General features: G+C 46.6%; 2 long non-coding RNA genes across 2 annotated transcripts, besides 3 other annotated features; one reads left to right on the forward strand and one right to left on the reverse strand.

The window, feature by feature from the left end:
- Positions 2,313-3,512: an enhancer, noted in NCBI's record as "P300/CBP strongly-dependent group 1 enhancer chr13:31619425-31620624 (GRCh37/hg19 assembly coordinates)". NCBI's record gives its function as "activates an origin of replication core promoter dependent on BRD2, BRD4, P300/CBP, MED14 and CDK7 cofactors, with strong dependence on P300/CBP, by STARR-seq in HCT116 cells {active_cell/tissue: HCT116}" and the evidence as "EXISTENCE:reporter gene assay evidence [ECO:0000049][PMID:35650434]".
- Positions 3,127-3,975, forward strand: LOC124903147 (uncharacterized). Its single transcript, XR_007063744.1, has 2 exons — positions 3,127-3,235; positions 3,689-3,975. It is a non-coding gene; the product is annotated as an uncharacterized LOC124903147 (long non-coding RNA).
- Positions 3,813-4,342: an enhancer, noted in NCBI's record as "H3K4me1 hESC enhancer chr13:31620925-31621454 (GRCh37/hg19 assembly coordinates)". NCBI's record gives its function as "activates a minimal SCP1, AML or CMV promoter by ChIP-STARR-seq in naive H9 embryonic stem cells {active_cell/tissue: H9 hESC(naive)}" and the evidence as "EXISTENCE:reporter gene assay evidence [ECO:0000049][PMID:30033119]".
- Positions 8,685-13,337, reverse strand: LOC102723392 (uncharacterized). The gene is made up of 3 exons (XR_429233.4): positions 13,190-13,337; positions 10,251-10,475; positions 8,685-9,372 (listed from the first exon to the last, which is right to left on the reverse strand). It is a non-coding gene; the product is annotated as an uncharacterized LOC102723392 (long non-coding RNA).
- Positions 9,137-9,431: a silencer, noted in NCBI's record as "tiled region #1526; HepG2 Repressive non-DNase unmatched - State 13:Ctcf". NCBI's record gives its function as "represses a minimal TATA promoter and a strong SV40 promoter by Sharpr-MPRA in HepG2 cells {active_cell/tissue: HepG2}" and the evidence as "EXISTENCE:reporter gene assay evidence [ECO:0000049][PMID:27701403]".
- Positions 13,338-19,414: the final 6,077 nt, after the last annotated feature.

Raw genomic sequence — 19,414 nt, forward strand, 5'->3', positions numbered from 1 at the left:
AGCGGAGGCAAAACGAAGAGAGAAGCGGAAAAGGAAATGCGGCGTTGGTGAGCAAGCCATGCCGAGGGAGCAGGTGCGAGTGCTGGTTTGTCTGCCTTCTGCTCTTTTCAGTGCTTTCCGTTCAGTCCTCATGACATCCCCACGAGGTGGTTATGACCATGCCATTTGTGACAATGGGGAAATGGAGGCTCATAGCAGCTATGCAGTTGGCCCAAGGTTCTATGCCCCTAGGAGGTGGCAGAGCTGGGATTTGAACCCAAGCAGATCTGCATAGCCTCTGCACCTGCCCACGAGGCTTCACTGACTCTCGAGGAAACAAAGAGATGTTCCAGGTGACTATGTGAAGAAATGGGTCTGGGAACACAGAAGTCACTCTAAAATCACTGAAGTCAGAGTGCTGGGGGAAATGGCACATCTGGTTTCCTTCCCATTTTCAGGGGAGATTCTTGTTAATCAGGGCCAGGAGGGAGAAACCTTTTCTCTGTATTTTGCTTCAGAATTAGAAATAAGTCTTGCCGATCAAGGTGGCTCATGCCTGTAAACACAGAGTTTTGGGAGGCTGAGGTAGGAGGATTGCTTGAGGCCAGGAGTTCAAGACCAGCCTGGGCAACCTAGCAAGACTCCGCCTCTACAAAAAATAAAAAATAGAAAATTAGCCAGGCATGGTGGCATGCGCCTGTAATACTAGCTACTCAGAAGACTGAGGTGGGAGGATCGCTTAAGCCCAGGAGTTTGAGGCTGCGGTGAGCTATGATTGCTCCAATGCACTCCAGCCTGGGTGACAGAGGGAGACCTTGTCTCAAAAAATAAATAAATAGGCTTAAATGCAAATTCCCTTGGGAGGTGGTGAAGGAAACACAGTGGAAGGTGAATGACTGGATATCCTAGAAGAACAGGTTTGGACTGGACAAAGACAGGAGGGCACCAGATTCTTGAATCAAGGAGGGGATAGAAGAATGAGAAGGGAACACGCAGACATTGAAATCCAGCTGGCCCCAATTCCTAATTTTGCTCCGGTGTTGCCTTTCTCTCTACAGGGCCCCCACGTGGTGGGAGCGGGGATGATCTGGGAACTGCCCGGCTCCAGGGGGCATCCACACAGCCTACGGCTCGGATGGTGCCCCTGGATGTGTGCTGTTCGGCTTCCAGGCCTGGGACTCCCCCAAATGGACCCCGGCACAGGGACAGGATGAGTAGGGGAAGCCCGCCTTGGTCACTCGTGCCCGGTGGTTGCTAGCCCCAGCAACTGCGTAAACGGGGCTCCCTGGCTCTACCCCTCTCCGTGGCTGCCCTTCTGGGTGCAGCCCAGCCTGGTCACTGCCCTCCACCAGGAGCCAGGGAACAGGACCCGGGCAGGTACAGCGGTACCACCTGTTCCTTACCATGCAAATTTATTGGTAAAAATGAACTTTTTTCATTGTTCAGTTTTTCAAACGATAATTTCACTTCATCCTTCTGGCATATTATGCTAGTAGCAATAACTGGCTAGTCCCTACACCTGCCTTGGCGGCAGCGCATCTCACTTGTGTGAAAGGCCTGCACACTTCAGGTGGATGTAGAACAAGCCCTCCCGCTGGAGGCGCGATCATTCACTGCCCCCTAGTGGACCAGATGTGCATGAGCCAGGATCCGTGCTTCCGCTTTGATGTGGGCTCTGAGCAAATCAGAGCTGCATTTTATTTCAGTAAGTTTTCGGCCTCTGCTGCTTTAATCTTTGTTGCTAGTGTCTACGGTTCTTAATTAACAGCCCTGAAATGGAATAAAATGTCAATCAAGGGTGACTCTGTGTAAAGCTATATTTAAATGTTAAAAAGTCGTGACATTTTCAAACAGTATTTCAGGCCTCATTTGATGCTCATTTTAAAAATCAAATTTTCATTAGGTTATAAAAATGCTTAACGTGAACGTCGCATTAAAGAGCTCATGTTGGCATCTAGCATAGCCTCAGGTTTTGTGTAAGAGAAAAAACGAGTTTATTTATAAAGCAGAAGCACTGACTGCCTGCCTTATCACCTAATCTGTCACCTAATCACCTTTTGGTTTTCAAGGTTTTCACAATTTGCATGCTTCTTAATTGCCATGTATCCTGGCAATCAGGGGCCCAGTCATACTCAGCATAAGGAAAGCCACCTCTGCAATACGCTGACAACAGCCAGGGGAACTTGGTTTGTCACCACATGCCACAAAGGCTGTTTTGGTGCGTGACTGTCCTTGGGTCAGCTTTAGATTTGTAATACCTGGCCCTAGATCATGCAGTTGAAGATCTTTCGATAATATTCACCTGCATTACATTTGACATACTAAGAGAACTGTTTCTGTAGAAGGTTAAAACACTGACTTTTCTACCCTTTCTGTTTTCTCATTGCCAGGACTTGAACGAATTTGGAACTGTTCCAGAGCTCATTGTTCTCACCTTGTGGCATAACTTAGGTAGTAGGGCAACTCCCTTACCCTTGCCTGGACTCTTACTATCAAAGCCCTCCATTGATAAGGTCTAGGCCGACCACACCCTAAAGCATTTCTTGTATGTATGGATTTGTTTCTTACCTATACCTGAAGAATGGCGCTGGTGAGGTACCACCTTTGGGAGAATTGAGAACATCATCCCTTAGGTAATTATCTGTGCTTTGTGGTTCAGATGAGTAAACTAAGCCCAGAACAGTTACAAAAGGAATGGCATCCTGGGTGAGATCAGTGAGGGGGATATGCTGTATCCTCCCGGGGACAGCCTTGTTCATTTAATCCATTCATTTCAGGCTGACTATGGAGTAGACCTAGCCCTGATGATAGGAAACTTCCAAGAGTTGGTGAGAAGGCTTTGGTGTGTCCACACAGAGCAGAACTGAAATTTTTCCACCCCATTGCAGATCAAACACCACAGCAAGTGAAGTGCTTCAGAGTCCTTCCTAAGCAAACTGTAGTTTTCCCCAGAATGTCACAGGAAGTGCTGCTGGTGATTCATCAGGTTAAAGTGCTCCTTGTGAGTCAGAAGTAAACGGAAGCTGCTGCTCCGTGTGGAGGGCGAAGAATCGTGGCTGGCCCTGAGGGTTCCAGGGGTGGGGTGGGGCAGAGCTGCTTACTAAACGCTTAGAACGTTCCGGTAACAACACTCGAATGGCTGTTGAACACAGTGAAACCCTTGCCCATGGAAACTTCTTAATAAAAGAATAAAAATAAAATAGGCTTGGAGATACAACTTACCAGAGGGAAACCAATCAGTAGAGCTGCATTTCCCGTAAGTCCCCATTGCAGCCCAGGGAAGCCCTCTGGCTGCCTGTTTTTATCAGTCACGCCAAAGGCCCATCGGGTGCCTCCAGTTTACCTGACTTGGTTTAAATCAGTCAGTTGAACTGGGGCTGAGTGGTCATCTTGTCTACGCCCTAGCCTCTACAGCCACTAACTTCAGGATATCATCTCTAGCAAAGTCCTCAATCCAAGACTGAACTGAATGCTAGGAGTAGGGAAAAGGGAAGGCAAAGTAGGGTCATGGCTGAAAGCTAAGCATCCATTTTTATCTACTTGGGGAATTTTTAAATCAACTAGAAATTCAAGATAAAACACATTTGAAATGACTTTAATGTGCGCATTTTTAAAAAAGGGACATAGAACACAACCAGTATTGCTGCTTTCCACACTGATACTGCTGCCTTATTCCCCTAAGATCACCCACCCCCATCTCTTCGGGTAGGTGTGTGAAGTGACACAGTAGGAAGACGGGCAGAGAAAGAGCCCCTGTTCCAAGCTGGCCGTCATTCAGCTGAGAAGACGGCTTTCCTGGAGGCTCCACGCACACCATGCCGCCGCACCCTCTCCAGCTGATCTGTGGCCAAGCTGCCTCACGGGCAATACCGAGCATGTTTTATATAAGGCTTTCAAAGCTGCTGCTGCTGCTGCTGCCACTCCTGCAGTGGCTATAACCTGGCCTTCAATGTCTCTGTCTAGACAGATGCATGATTGAATAAAGGATTCATCCAAGCCCTGTGTCACATTGGCCATCTGGAAAGTCGCCAACCACTCGTTTAGCAAATTGCTGTGTTTAAATGCAGCTGCTGTGTCTCAATGTTTATGCTACCAAGACAGATCACATGATTCCTCTTCTTTCATTTATCTGCACCGCTCCTCTTAATCTGCCTAGGAACTTAAAAGGCTGTTAATGCATGACAAGGCACTTGACCCGCGTGATTTCCAAGCCAAGGGGGAGCATCCGTCTTGCACTGGGTCGTCCTTTCCTCAAACGCAAGGGCACCTTGCCTGTACTCCCGTCTTAATGAAGGCTGCCTTTATTAAGAATCCCATTAAGCTCCACAGTGCCCAGCCATCCGACACTGTAAATATGACCCTTTAGAAATGCATCCAGGGGCCCTGCGCAAGCAGCTGGCCTGGTAGCGAGCACTTGCCCCAGCAGTCGGGAGGGAAACTCAGACCTCAGCTCTCTGTAGAAGGAAGGGCATTGTTTGATGGGTTGATGCTTCTCTCCTTTTTGGAAAGATGAATTACAATCTTTGGCAGATAATGTCAACAAAACCCCTGAGATGATTTAAATAAGAGTTGGAAGCAAAATGATTTCAGAATAGCAATGAGCTCTTAGGCATTTTACCTTGGTTTTCTTATTTTTAAGGAGGAAAAGGAAGGAGACAGCCGAGGTTAAGCAGTTTGTCATCTGGATATCACTGGTCACTTTGGCCTGGTGCTGATTGTTATGTTATTTATCAGGGCAAATAATTTTGGTGACCACTGCTTACATAAATTGCCTGCCTCTTTTGGGGGTCACAACATTATTAAGTCTGGAAGTCAGAAGCCAAAATCAGTGAGTGTTTATCAAAGGAATATCATGTTCTCAGTCCTTAGCTAGGCCCATTGGAAAAGCAACAAAATAGCACAATAAATGATCTGTGCCATTAAATCCTATCAGGAGACGAAAAGAAACAAATACAGGAGAATCTAGCACAGTGAGGAGTGAGGATGTGGTCTTTGGAACCAAATCCCAGATGCAATTCTGGGGTGTTCACCTTGTGAGCCTCAGTTTCCTCACTGGCAAGAACAGGTGGACATATCTCTCTCCAAGTTATTTTCAGGAGTGATTGAATCAGTCTTTACAACAGTAAGAACCCAGTGTATTCTATTAGTGGTAGTCAGAGGGTGTGGGATCTTGACTGTAAATGCTAGAGGAATTCAGAGGAAATAAAGAACATTTTGGACTGAGTACATAAGACCATCTTTATGGGTCAGCTTGATCCTGAAGAAGCAAAGTCTGGGGAGGGAAAGTGTATCTGATAAATGGAACAATGTGAGCAAGACACAGAGATGGCAGGCAGAGAAGAGGTGGGGCCACTGGGTGGACTAAAGGAAAGAGCTCTCATTTTTGTGTGGGGGGGTGGAAATGTTGAATGAATGACAGGCCCCATGCATGGAAGGCTTTGAAAGTCAAGCTGAGTGATAGCCATGGGTTGGAAAGATTTACCTGGTGTCAGTGAACAGGGTGGTTCCCTGGAGAAATGTGGGCTGGGAGATGGGCTCAAAGGCTAGATACTATTCCAGGCTGACGGATGAGGGGTCAGTGGAGTGGCAGTGGGGTGGATGGAATGGAATAAAGCTGGCATTTCCTTCCATGCTCAACAGACCTGGTGACTCCATGAACACTGGGCAGGAGAGAGAAGGAAAAGGAAAGAGGAAATGGTTTTACAGAGCACCTTTTCCATGCCAGACACTAGGCTAGATACATTCCAATCATTCTTATCGAGCTCCAAGCATAAGATCCCAGTGCCAGCATACCAAGACAATGGAGGGCGCTGCAAGCAAATGGAGCTGCTCAGCTTCCTGGCAGGCCAAGCTAAGGCCTAAGGTTTGATGCTGTGTATGTTGAGAGTGAGATGGCTTTAGAACAGCCAAGGTCCCCCAAGTGCAAGGGTCCTGTTGGAAGCTGCAAGTCTCGGTTTGGGATTCAGGAAGAGATGTAGTCATGAATATCATTGGCTTAGGGAAGACTGCTCAGCAGTAAGACTCGAAGAGCACTGGAGGGAGGAAGTGTTGGGGTAACAGAGAGGAAAGGAGCCAGCAGAAGCCAAGGGAGAAGGGATGTCTGGAGGGAAGAGGTGATTAGCAGCTGAACATCCAGGGAGCTCGAGGAAGAAGAGAGACTGAGAAAACCCCATGCGATTTATTAGAAATGGAACTAGTGGTGAGAAAAATGTCAGTGGAGGATCAGGGAGAGAAGTCAGATTGCCGGGCTCTAATGAGGGAGTGTGGAGTGAGAAAATGACACGTTAGCTAAGGAAGAGAGACATGGAGGGAAGGGAACAGTATATGCTGACTTTGTGAAATTAAATGAGCTTCTAAATGGTGCTATAATGGCATGAAAAAGTGACAGAACCCAATGATGCTGATGCAATTCCCATTAATAGATTATGCACTGGAAAAATCTTGTATAAGACACACTTGACACAGAATTTTTGGTGTATGTCATACTGAGGTTAAAAAAAAAAAAAGCAGCAGGCTGAGATTTTATTTGTACCCAGACTGCGATAATTTGGCAGGAAAATGACATGACCTACTGTGAACTCAACTAACACCATAGCTTGTTCCAGTGCTGATGGACCTGAGCTTGAAGACCACACGAGGTTTAGCAAGCCTAGCTCTGCTACTCATGACTTCTGTTCCCTTGGGCACATCATTCAACCTCTTTCTGCCTCAGTCTCCTCACCTGTAAAATGGAAATCATAAAATTACTGACTCCACAGGATTATTGTGAGGATTTAATGAAATAACACATGCAAAGCATTTAGTTAGTTCAGAGCCAGTGCCTGGCACTTATTCAGGGATATAGTCTCCAGTGACATTGATACCAAAAAAATACTATGATAGCTCCTACCAACAAATTAGCCGAATTTATTTCACATCCGAGACAGCAAGTTTTGCAATTATACACAACTTGATATTATACTAGTGTTTCCTTCCATATCAAACGCTGTTCCAAGTGCAGATTGCTGCAAGGAATGCGCTGGAGTGATCAAGATCCTCCAAGAGCACTGCCGCATGCACCAGAGACCTCCCCGGGGCCCTGGGTCCTGGCATTTGGACAGTGCAATCTGGCCAAGCTCATGTCCACTCAAGGTTATGGCAGCTCCAGTGTCTCTTGAATGTGAAAGCCCATCTGTCTGGGGAGAAACAGAGAAGACTGGAAAACTCTCCACTCCCTTTTACACAGAAAAATATTGCTTGTTGTTTCTACTGAGAGAGGACAAGATTTTAGTGTGTGGGAAATAAATGGAATATGTTGTGTTTTTACTTCTGCAAGAAATTTATTTTTCTTTTGTTTTTTAAATTGTGTTGCAGGGATGTGTGACCGTTCTGCTTCTGCCATCTGTAAGTGAACTATTAAGGTAAATATTGAAGTTTAAATATAATTTTGAAAGAAGAGGAATAGCACTTTTTTAAAGCAAGGACATAATCACTTTATGTAACTGTTGCCATGGGGTAAAGGAATAAACTAGCAAATGTTCTCAAGATGGTTTAGGATTGGGATTTGCTTTTTCTTCTCCTTTCTAATTTTCTCGGATTGTAACATTACATTCGCTCCCCCTGGTGTGTCCATTTCCCAGCTTTGCTCCGATATTCTTCTCTCATGGTGCAATACCATTGTGGACCTCCAGAGTTGGTGCATTTAGTGCAACAGAGCATTCTGCCTGGTTCAGGGGATAGAGGAATGAAACCTAAACTAGTCATAGCAAATGTCAGGATGAACATTTCAGCTAAACATAAAATGTTAAGAGAATCAGATATAACATATTAGTATGAATCAGTCTGTATTAGTCAGGGCAGGCAAACTGCTATAATGAATAACTCCCAAGTTTAGTGGCTTCTCACAATAGAAATTCACTTTCTGCTTATGTAACAGCTCCTTGCATGCATTTGGTGGGTGACTCGGGGACCCAGGCTCCCCCCTAGGGCTTTGGGTCCTCTGCAGCGGGCAGCATTCTGGGGAAGAGATGGAGTGGGTGGTCATTCAGGGTGATTTTATGTGCTATGCCTTCAGTGCTGTGTGTCACTTCTGCTCATACTCCAGAAGTCAGTCACATGGCCACCATAATTGCCACAGAAGCTGGGGAAGTTGAACAGCACAGAAAGGGAAATGGGTTTGATAAATAATTTGCCAGTCTTTGCCACATAACCTAAAAAATAAAGTATCAAGGAAACAATACAATATATGTCCCCTGGGAATTTTTGCTGATGATGTGAAAACCCCTTTGTCATCAGAGAATTCTCTTATTCTCTTTTCCTGTTGCCTCTCCCTTTTGTTTTATTTCTTTCTCCTTTTTTTTTTTTTCAGACAGGATCTAGCTCTCTCACCCAGACTGGAATGTGGAGTGCAGTGGCACCATCATAACTCACTATAGCTTTGAACTCCTGGGCTCAGCTTCTCGAGTAGCTGGGACTACAGGTAAATGACACTGTTCCTGGCTAATTACTTTTTTTTTTTTTTTTTTTTTTTTGGTAGAGACAGGGTCTCACTATGTTGCACAGGCTGGTCTCAAACTCCTAGCCTCAAACAATCCTCCTGGCTTGGGCTCCCAAAGTGCTGTGATTATAGGCATGAGCCACCGCACCCGGCCCCTACCTTCTTTCCACTCCTCTCTGCCACAGCCCAGCCTGCCGAATCTGCCTCCTCATGGGCGGTGGAGTGGGCTCTCTTCAGAGCCTGCGTGTGCTTACCTTCCTCAGCATCTTGTCTTACAAACTTTGCAACGAGAATGTGTGCTTCCCTCCATCCCAGCTTTTCAAATTCCTCTCCCATCTTTGGTGCTCAGATCTAATCCCCTTGCTTTCAAAAAATCTCCCTGATCACAGGACACAGCCTCCTTCTGTAATGCTCCTTCTCGGCACCTCCCAAGGCCTTTCTCAGTCACCCACTCATGGTCAGGTTTTGTAGATATGTCTCATCTTTTCAACAGATCTTACATTGCTAGAGAGAAGAGCACCTCGTATCTCGGAGACACGCACCTCTTCATTGCTAGGGGCAATGAGAGAGAGTGAGAGGACATGCCTAGGACCCCGAAGCTCCGCTTCCTGCCCAAAGGCTCCCTGCAGCTTGGCTTTAGCTCCGTCCTCACCTCTGCCTCCACGTCCTCCCTCATAATCCTAAGACACTAGTTCCTGCACCAGCTTTCCTCCCAGAGAGCCTTGAGGTGCGAATGAAGTGATTCAGATGTATCCAGAAGAAGTCCCCCAGCTCACTCACCAGGAGGCGATGTGCAGAGTGTCCTTAGGACAGGGCTCAGGAGGCAAACCAGCACCTGCAGGATCCCACAGATCCTGCAGGAGCTAGCGGTAAAGAAGTGGCTCCCTGTGTGCTTCTTAGAAACTAGAGGCGTTTTCCTGAAATGAATAGGAAAGGGTAAGGAATAAACATCCTTGGATTTTGGCTTTGAAGTTAGCAAAATAATACCTTTTTCAAACAAAAAGGCAAGACTGGCTAAAATCACTTTGTGATGGCAGTTCAAGGGCGGCTTAAAATAGCATCTCGCTGCCCTCAAGGCAAGTGCAGCTGTACTGCTCAGGATCACGAGAAGCTCACTTGCCAGCCTCCTTGCCAGCTCCTGCTTTTGCTTGGGACTCTGTGTGCACCCCTGGAATGAGCTAGCTGAGAGAAAACCCCGAAGGCCTTAGAGAACCCCTGAATGGAGGGGCCTGGGAGCACCCCATGTGGATAAGGCTGCTCTGGGATGCAGGCCCATGTGGAGCCTGGGCAGGAGTGTGACCTCCTTCAGCTTCAGCTTCCCTGGGAACAACGCAAGCTGCCTCCTGGAGATGCTGAAAGGATCTAATTGTTCATACCGAGGGCCAACGCTGCACATCGAATATAAATATAAATACCGATTCACCCACTATGGTCTGTGGATGAGGAGACCCGGGATTCTTCTAAATAGAACGATCTTTGGTTTATTTTAAGTTTCTGGGTAAAATTTAAAGTGTGATTTTTGAAACGTCTCATTTCCCTTAAAGGGAGGGAATGAGTCCCTTTGGAGAACAGCGGATTGAAATTCAAATGCCTCTTGCTCTTTTACATCATCTGGAAGATGTCAGGAAAAGGTGTGACGCACTCCCTTCTCAGCCCCAACACATTTGTTCTGAAGGTGACAGGTGCATGGTTTTACAGGCTGGGGCATCCACGGGGATGTTTGCAGGTGCCCTGGGAATTGGTGTGAGAGCCACACAACAAGTGACCATACAGGCTGGGATCAGGAGTGACTCACCTCTGATTTCGTCTCGGGAGGGAGCTGACACTCTTGTCAAGCTGTTGGCCAGTGGCCACGGATTTCAGCAGAGGCATCAGCAGGTCATCTGTGGTGGCTGTGGGCCTTGGCCAGGAATGGGAGGGCCAGACACACGCTAAGACAGTGAAGCGCCAAGGCCAGGCTTGCCCCTGGCGGAATTCTCATAGGCTTCTTGCTTTCATAGAGCTAAGTTCACAGACACAGCTACCCACAGGCAGAGCACACAGAAAAGCCACAGAAGTCATTTCCCAGGTACACAGACCACCTTCCCAGGCACTTGTCCACAGGGCAGACCCACAGACAACCAGAAACACCCCACAAAAAATCCCCAAACCCAAATGCATAGACCCTCACAGATGCCCCACAGGCATCCCATGAATATCTGCACACCCACTTTATAGAAACTCTAGACTCACTTCAAAGACACCCAACAGATGCCCCACAATCACCCTCACCAACACAACTCACAAACCACACACACCACCACAGACATCCACAAGATCCCCACTGACACCCACACAGACACCTTCACAGGTACCCCAAACATACCCCAAAATATCTCAAAGTACACCTAACACCCTGGCAGACACCTCAACACATCCTCCACAGATCCTCTTGTGTCACTTGCCCCAGCTCATCTCCTCACGTCACTCCACAAAACCCACCACAAAACAGATACCCCTCCAAAGCAACCCACACGCCTCCACCACACCCCACATACCCTCACAGTGCCAGGTACACAAATATGCACCTGCACACAAACTCAGACCCCATGTGCACACACGGAGTCACCTATACAGATCCCCTGGGCACATACACACAGCCAACCAAATAGATCCACTGTGCACATGCACACACACTCACAGACCCCCTGTGCGCACACACAGTCACCCACACCGACCCACTGTGCACACATGCACATAATCACCCACACAGACCCCCGTGCACGCACACACACAGACCCCCCACACACATACACAGTCACCCACACAGACCCCCTGTACACACACACACACAGACCCCCCATACACACATACAAAGTCACCCACACAGACCCCCTGTGCACACACACACACAGACCCCCTACACACAGTCACGCACACAGACCCCCATGCACACACACACACAGACCCCCTACACTCATACACAGTCACCCACACAGACCCCCTGTGCACAACACACACAGACCCCCCTACACACATACACAGTCACCCACACAGACCCCCTGTGCATGCACACACACACAGACCCCCCTACACACATACACAGTCACCCACACAGATCCCCTGTGCACGCACACACACAGACCCCCATGCACACACACAGTCACCCACACAGACCCCCATGCACACACATAGACACCCACACAGACCCCTGTGCAGACACACAGTCACCCACAAAGGTTCCTTGTGCACACACACACACAGTCACCCACACAGTTTCCTTGTGCACACACACACAATCATCCACATAGACCCCCGTGCACACACATGCAGTCATCCATAAAGGTCCCTTGTGCACACACACAATCACCCACACAGATCCACTGTGCACACATGCACATAGTCACTCACACAGACCCCCTGTGCACGCACACGCACAGACCCCCATACACCATCACACACACAGACCCCCTGTGCACATGCATACACACACAGACCCCCATACACACACACAGTCACCTACTCAGACCCCCTGTGCACACACACTTGCCCACAGAGATTCTCTGTGCACACACACACAGAGTCACCCACACAGACCTGGGCACACACACTCGTGTACACACACAGTCACCCACATACACACCCTGTGCATACACACACAGAGACCCCCTGTGTGCACAAACACGCACAGAGCCCCGTGCACACACACACACAGATCCCCTGTGCACACACACAGAGACCCCCTGTGCACACACGCATCATCACCCACACAGATCTGTGCACACACACAGTCCCCCACACAAATCCCTGTGCACACGCACAGACCCCCTGTGCGCGCACACACAGTCACCCACACTGACCCACTGTGCACACATGCACATAATCACCCACACAGACCCCTGTGCATGCACACACACAGACCCCCCTACACACATACACGGTTACCCACACAGACCCCCTGTGCAAGCACACACACAGACCCCCCTACACACATACACAGTCACCCACACAGACCCCCTGTGCACACACACAGACCCCCCTACACACATAGTCACCCACACAGACCCCCTGTGCACACAGTCACCCACACAGACCCACGGTGCACACACACACACAGACCCCCCTACACACATAGTCACCCACACAGACCCCCTGTGCACACACACAGTCACCCACACAGAACCATTGTGTACACACACACAGACCCCCTGTGCGCATACACAGTCATCCACACAGACCCCCCTGTGCGCACACACACACACAGACCCCCTGTGCGCACACACACCCACACAGACCCCCTGTGCACACACACAGTCACACACAGTCACCCACACAGATCCCCCGTGCACACACACACTTGCCCACACAGATTTCCTGTGCACACATACAGTCACCCACACAGACCCCCTGTGCACACACACACCCATGTACACACACAGTCACCCACACACACACCCTGTGCATACACACACAATCACCCACACAGACCCCACGTGTGCACACATACACATAGACCCCCTGTGCACATACATACATAGACCCCCTGTGCACACACACACAGTCACCCACACAGACCCCTATGCACACACAGGCATTGACGCTAGCCTGGCATACCAGTAGCCTCCACCCCTCACCTGGGAATCTCCTACCACCACCCAGTCAGACATGCTCCTCTACAGAAACCCTCCCTGTACAGAAGTCTTAATGGAGACCCCACCAAAGCCCTTTCCTCCAAGACGCAGACCCGACACTCACTGGCCTGAAAAACCCGGGTGAAGACGCAGACACACAGACATCCTGCTCCATTCTACAATTCATCGTTTGAGGCAATCTTCTAGCTATAATCTGGAAAATCAAGACAAGCCATTTATTGCAAACAACTGGGATTGTGGTACAATACTCTGGTCACAGGGAGATGGAACAAAGTGTTTAGTTAGGATCCAGTGATGCATCTGTCAGTGGCTCTCGCTGGTCCATGAGTACACCGGGGGAATAGGCGTCTCCTTGCCACGATTTTGAAGGAAGAGGAGTGCAGCTCAAAGACTGAAGCCTGGTTTCTGGAGAACGTCAGGTCCATTTGTCCCCCAACGGCCTTGTCACAAAGCAGTCTGCCATGACCCCTGCGAGGTGGGGGTCCTCGTCCCGCCCTCAAAGACAGCTGTCCTTCTGCTGATGGAGCAGAGCTGGGGCCTCTGGCTAGCTCTGCAGCTGGTTTTCCTTACAATCCAAAAGTTTCAAAACAAAAAAGACGTAATGCCTCCAAAAAATTCCTCAAGATTTTCTTAGAAAATAGGTGCTTCCAAAGAGGGATATAGTATGGTGGGTGTTAGAAGGAGGAGGGGACAGACGTGGGAGATCAAAAAGAGAACCAGGAGGATGCAGAAAGGGATTAGAATGCAGGAAATAGCTCCGGCCAGCTGGTGGCCATCTGGGAGCCACGCAGAACGGGAAAACCAAGTTGCCGAGTTTCTAGCAAGTGGGTACAGTTTGTCATGACAGAAGGTTACTGCTTGGAGAAACTACAGAGAAGCCAGATTCTTGCCAGCTATTTTCTTTTTTAAAAAAATCTAGTGGTTTCCGTAAGAATCGGATTGCTGTGAATTTGCTTCTGTCTGAAGTAAACTAGCTAAGGACATCATCATTTTAGGAAACGTTAGATAGCATCTGAGGGTGTTGTGGGATAAGACTCTCCGGATATCAGTGTGAAAACAGACAATGGGTAAAGACATGTGGTTTTTACCTTATACAGTGATTTTTTTTTAAGTCTCAAACAGGACCAGAAGGAAGGCCAATGACTATAAGATAAGAAGTAAATTATTGTGGTTGGTTATTTTTATTTTGGTAGATATTCAAGGCATATTATATGTGCTTGGTAGTGGCTGTCCAGGAGGAAAAGAAATAAATTGTAAAGTCAATATGCACTCTGTAATATATAAAGACATTTTGCATCCACTCAGTTGTCCCATGGAGAACCAAAGGACAGCGTGTGTGAAACTAACCTCATCATGCCTTTGCCATCCACCAAAAATAGCATCTCTTCTCTCCCCACCGACTCTGTGAATGGCACCACCACTGCCCTGTGGTCCATGCCAGCTAAGTCATCCTAGCTGCTTATATCCCATATCCAGAGACAGTCGTGTGTTGCTAATCACGGAGATACATTCTGAGAAATGCGTCTTTAGGCAATTTCATCATTGTGCAAACATCACAGGGCATACTCACATGAACCTAGATTGCATACATATTTTTATTTATGTATATTTTTATATGGGAAACCAAGTGTCCCAGCACCATTGCTGAATATCATTCATTTCCGCTACTTCATCTGCGATGCCATTATCAAATGCCATTTGTCACGTTTCTATATATGCTGCATAATCTATGAGACCACTGTCGTATATGCTGTCCATCACTGACTGAAGCATCATTATGAGGCACAAGCCTGTACTTAGCCACCAAGTCCTGACAATTCTATCTCCTTAATAACTCTAGCTCATGCCCTCCCCGCCCTCTTCTCCCTCCCTATGGCAACTGCTTCATTTGATCTGTCAGCACCATCACAGCAACAAACTTCTAAATGGTCTCACCAGGCCCAATTTCAAATCCTTGCACATCACTCTTCATATTTTCACTGGGTGGTTTTTGTAAAAAGAGAAAATGAATCTCATCTCATGTTCATTCAGCAAACATTGATTGAGCACCTGCATGTGTGAGGTTTTGTCCTAGGTGCTTGGGGGTCGGTGAACAAAACAGAGACCTCGACCTTCAGACTAGTGGAAGGAGAAAGACAATAAACATAATTATATCATAATAATTTTGAAGGTGGTAAGTGCTGTGAAAAAATAAAGCAGGGTAAGGGATCAAGAATTCCTGGTGTGCACACGTGTGTGTGGAGTTTTCAGTAGGGCAGGCAGGATAGGCCTCACTGAGAAGCTGACATATGACCAAAGGAGGTAAGGGAGTGACAGGTGACCAAAGGAGGCACCTGAGGATCTGTGGGAAGGGCATTCCTTGCAGAGAGAAGAGTCAGAGATATGACCTAAGGTAAGAACATACATGGGGGCTTCAAGAAACAGCACACAGGTTGGGGTGGCTGGGGCAGGATAGGTGTGGGTTGAGAGTGGAGGGAATGAGATCAGGGAGCTATGAGGGGGTCAGGTGATATTGGACCTTATGGCGGGTGGTGCCATTGCAGGGTTTTAAGCTGTAGACAACTTGCTCCGACTTCTCTATTGGATGATGACTCTAATGATCCTGCTGCCTCAGACCAGAGAGTAGCAGAAAAGATTGTGAGAGGTGCTGATGTCTCTCTCCCACTCAAAAACCTAAACTCTTCAGTGTGACCCACAAAACATTTCAGGACTGGGGCTCTGCTTACTTTTCCTGGTTCATCTCTGATGGTGCCTTCACATCCCCTCAACCCCCATGTTCTGGAGCAGGTGAGCATCAAACAAGCATCCCCTTCTCTCATGGCCCCATGCTTTTGCATTGGTGCCCTCCTCTGCCTGACTGTGGTGCCCTTCTGGGCCTCCACTGAGCATCTTCTCCTCAGGGAGGTCTTCTCCTCTCTATACAATGCAGTCTCTATGAAGTCCTGTACATACCTCAGTGATTGAGATTTTATCCCTGAATCAGAATGTTCTGTCCACAATCTGTCTCTCTCACTAGAGTGGGCAATACTATTAATAGAACCTAGAAATTAGAGCTTTTATTTCTGAATCTCTAGTCGACCTTGGACAGTTGGGTGGATGATGGATGGATGAAGGATGGATAGATGAAAAGATGGAGGATGAATGGAGGATAGGTGAGTAATGGTTGGAGGATGCATGGATGATGGGTGAATAGATGGATGGATGCATGCATGAATAAATGGGGGAAGGATGGAGAATAAATGGAGGATAGATAGAGGATGGGTGGGTGGCAGATCAATGGATGCTGGGTCTTTCATTAGATATTGAATTCAAGGGATTTTATTTTTAGTTTATAATTAGTTAAGCATTATAAAATGCTCAGAAACTAATTGTAAGACATTAACTTCTTCATTACCGGAGAGATGGCTGAAGGAGTATGTGCAAGTAACTACTTGTGAGCATACATACTCGTCAACTGCACATGATGGCTGTGTTGCTGGAAAGTTGAATACAAAAGGACTTTTGATAAACAGGATCTTATTTGCCCATTGACTAAATATTATTTGAGATATGCTTTATTTTTTTGACATGCTATTCAATTAGCAGGAAGTCACACTAAAACTTCAAATTCCTCAATACTTTCCTTCCCTACCAACTTCTGTCAGATACACTATTCAGCTGAAAGTGATTGATTTCTGTTTGACAAACTACTGAGGAAAATCCTTCCAGAAAAATGAGGAGTCTTTTTGCATTGCATAAGCATCTGCTACTTTATCTTTTTTTCTAGGGTTGTCCTCATCTGGTGTAGGTTTTAGGGTTCCCCTTTCCCATTGGGAAAGCGTATGATTTCAAAAAATGCACATAATTTCAATAAAAATCAAAATAAATTTTGAAACGAAAGAAAAATTAACAAAACATAATGTCCAAAAATGTCCAATTTTCAAGAGCTTGAAAATGACTACTAAGCCTTTCCCTCTCACAGGTGACCATTTCTAGCTTTCTCAGCTGTTTTTCATATGACCTTGTTTCAGGACGCCTCACTGTCCTGGCTTTCTCTTGCCGACAGCGGCCCGAGTGCTCAGGACTGGATGCCACACAGCACCTTATAGCCCACCTTGTCCATTGGCATAATACAGCCCATATTCGAGCCATATAGTCCACATCCTTTACTTATAAATTCCTATTTTGAACCTAAATCCAGAGCTTTCATTGATGCTAAATTTCATGTTATTGACTTTTTTGCATTCTTATCCTATTTGGCTAAAATAATTTTCACTGATAATATTGGCATGCAGTAGATTTGCTGTCTCTCTCAGCATTGTGTCATCAGTAAATTTAGCAGTGTTTCTATGTGTTCATCCAAGTCCTGGATTAGACTGTTGAATAGGGCACAGCTGAGAACAGCCCTGTGGCCTGTCACTACGAACATCCCTCCGGGTGGGATTCACTCATATGATTTGCTTCACTTTGAGTAGAGGTGTTTGCTCATTTGCTCAAAGGATATAATACGAGCACATCTTTAAGGAGAAAATAGAAAAGAGAAAGTACTGATAATAACAGTTTCAGGAATTGTTGTCCCTCTGAAGAGTCACAGCAGGACAATTCACAGTATCTGTCAGTTGTGTCTGGGTAAAAAAGAATGAACTGGTTAGAGCTTTGCCCTAAAATGAACAGGCCCTTGTCACGACACACACACACACACACACACACACACACAATTGTTCAGTGCCTCTGCTAAGATCAAGAGTCTCACATGGCAGAGGCCTTTCACAGCCGTGGTTCTGGGTCTTCCAGATGCCCCTGACCTTGTGGCACGTGGGAGTGGGCTCTCAGAGACCACACCCACAGCTCCTCACCGCCTCTCAGGGCGTCCCGGACAGGGGCAAGGACTGGAGGTCCTGGTTGCATTGATGACCTCCTCCATCTTGCTTCCTTAGGGATTCATGCTGGTGCTTGGATAAGTATTAGATTATTTTTTGACAAGCTGAAAGATGAAGTTCAACGTGAGCAATTGGCTGATGACACAAATTCACCAACCCAGCATCATGGAGAACTGTTGTCTGGATCTGACCAAACCAGTATCACAGTAGATGAAATAAACTGATAGAAGAAAGACTTTAGGGAGGCACGATGGCTCAGGTCTGTTGTCCTGGCGCATAAGAAGGCGAGGCCAGGCATTCAAGACCAGCCTGGGCTACATAGGAAGCCTTCATCTATATAATAAAAAAAAAAAAAAAAAAGAAGAAAGACTTTAAATCTCTCCATCTCTCCTGTAGATGCCCTCAAAAGATAACAGCTTGTATCATTAGTCTCCCAGGAAATCTATCTGCTTCATGCTTGCTGGAGGTTAAAAAACAGATTATGGGTCTTGTCTAAATTAAGGAAATATTGGTGGGCAATACAGAAACTATTATCAGAATGAAAAACAAATTACAATGAAGTCCTTATTTTAGAGACTTTGTCCCCATCAATTAATACACTCACAAGTGACTGAATCCACATTTCCATGAAGTAATTCCAAGAAGTTTAAAGATTTTTCCTAGTTTTCTTTCTTGAAATACGAATGCATGTTTCAAATCAGTTACCTTTGATTTCTGATCATCATCACTATGTCCGTAATCTCACTAAGCCTGTAAACTTGGCTGGTTTTTTTCTTCTGCCCCATTTTCTGTCCCAGAAATTAACTGTATCCACAGAAAGGCAACAGAGATGGTGAATGGTATTACGAAGGACAGCTTAGTGGAAGAGGGCCAGAAAAAAATTTTATTTGAGGGAAATTCAATTGGGAGAAGATCAATTGACAAAAAAAATGAGTTGAAGGATTCTCAAAGTATCACAAAGGAAGCAGAAGGCTGAGGAGACATACTTATTATTTGCTCTATGGTTGGAGAACAGACAATTCATAAAGAAACAATATCAGACTTTTCAAACTGCTTCTTGAAAATTGCTTTTCAAAAAGAGATGTTTCATTTAACCAGTGAAATTAGATGCTGTGGGGTATTGTTATGGAAGCCAAGTAAATTTACACAATAAAATAAATCTTAAAAGGACAATTCCACAGGTAAAATGGAGGTTGTCAAGTACTCAGCATTAGTCTCTGAGGCGCCATCCTCTGAAAGCTGAAACAAGGCAAAGCATCTTGAGAGTTCTGAAGTGTGAAGATTGAGACCTACTCAAGCTTCTAACTTTCTGGACTGTGTGAACAGGTGAGGAGAGGATGCAGGGACTTGTGTGGAATGTTCAAGAAACTCAGCAGTAAAGAACTTTATCAGGCAAAGAAAGGCCTGATGGAAAAGCATCTCCAAGACATGAAGAAGCTTGACAGGAAGTTCACCTGGAGAGAAAGTGA

This window comes from Homo sapiens, chromosome 13 (genome assembly GCF_000001405.40).
Source record: "Homo sapiens chromosome 13, GRCh38.p14 Primary Assembly".
NCBI classification, from domain to species: Eukaryota; Metazoa; Chordata; class Mammalia; order Primates; family Hominidae; genus Homo; species Homo sapiens.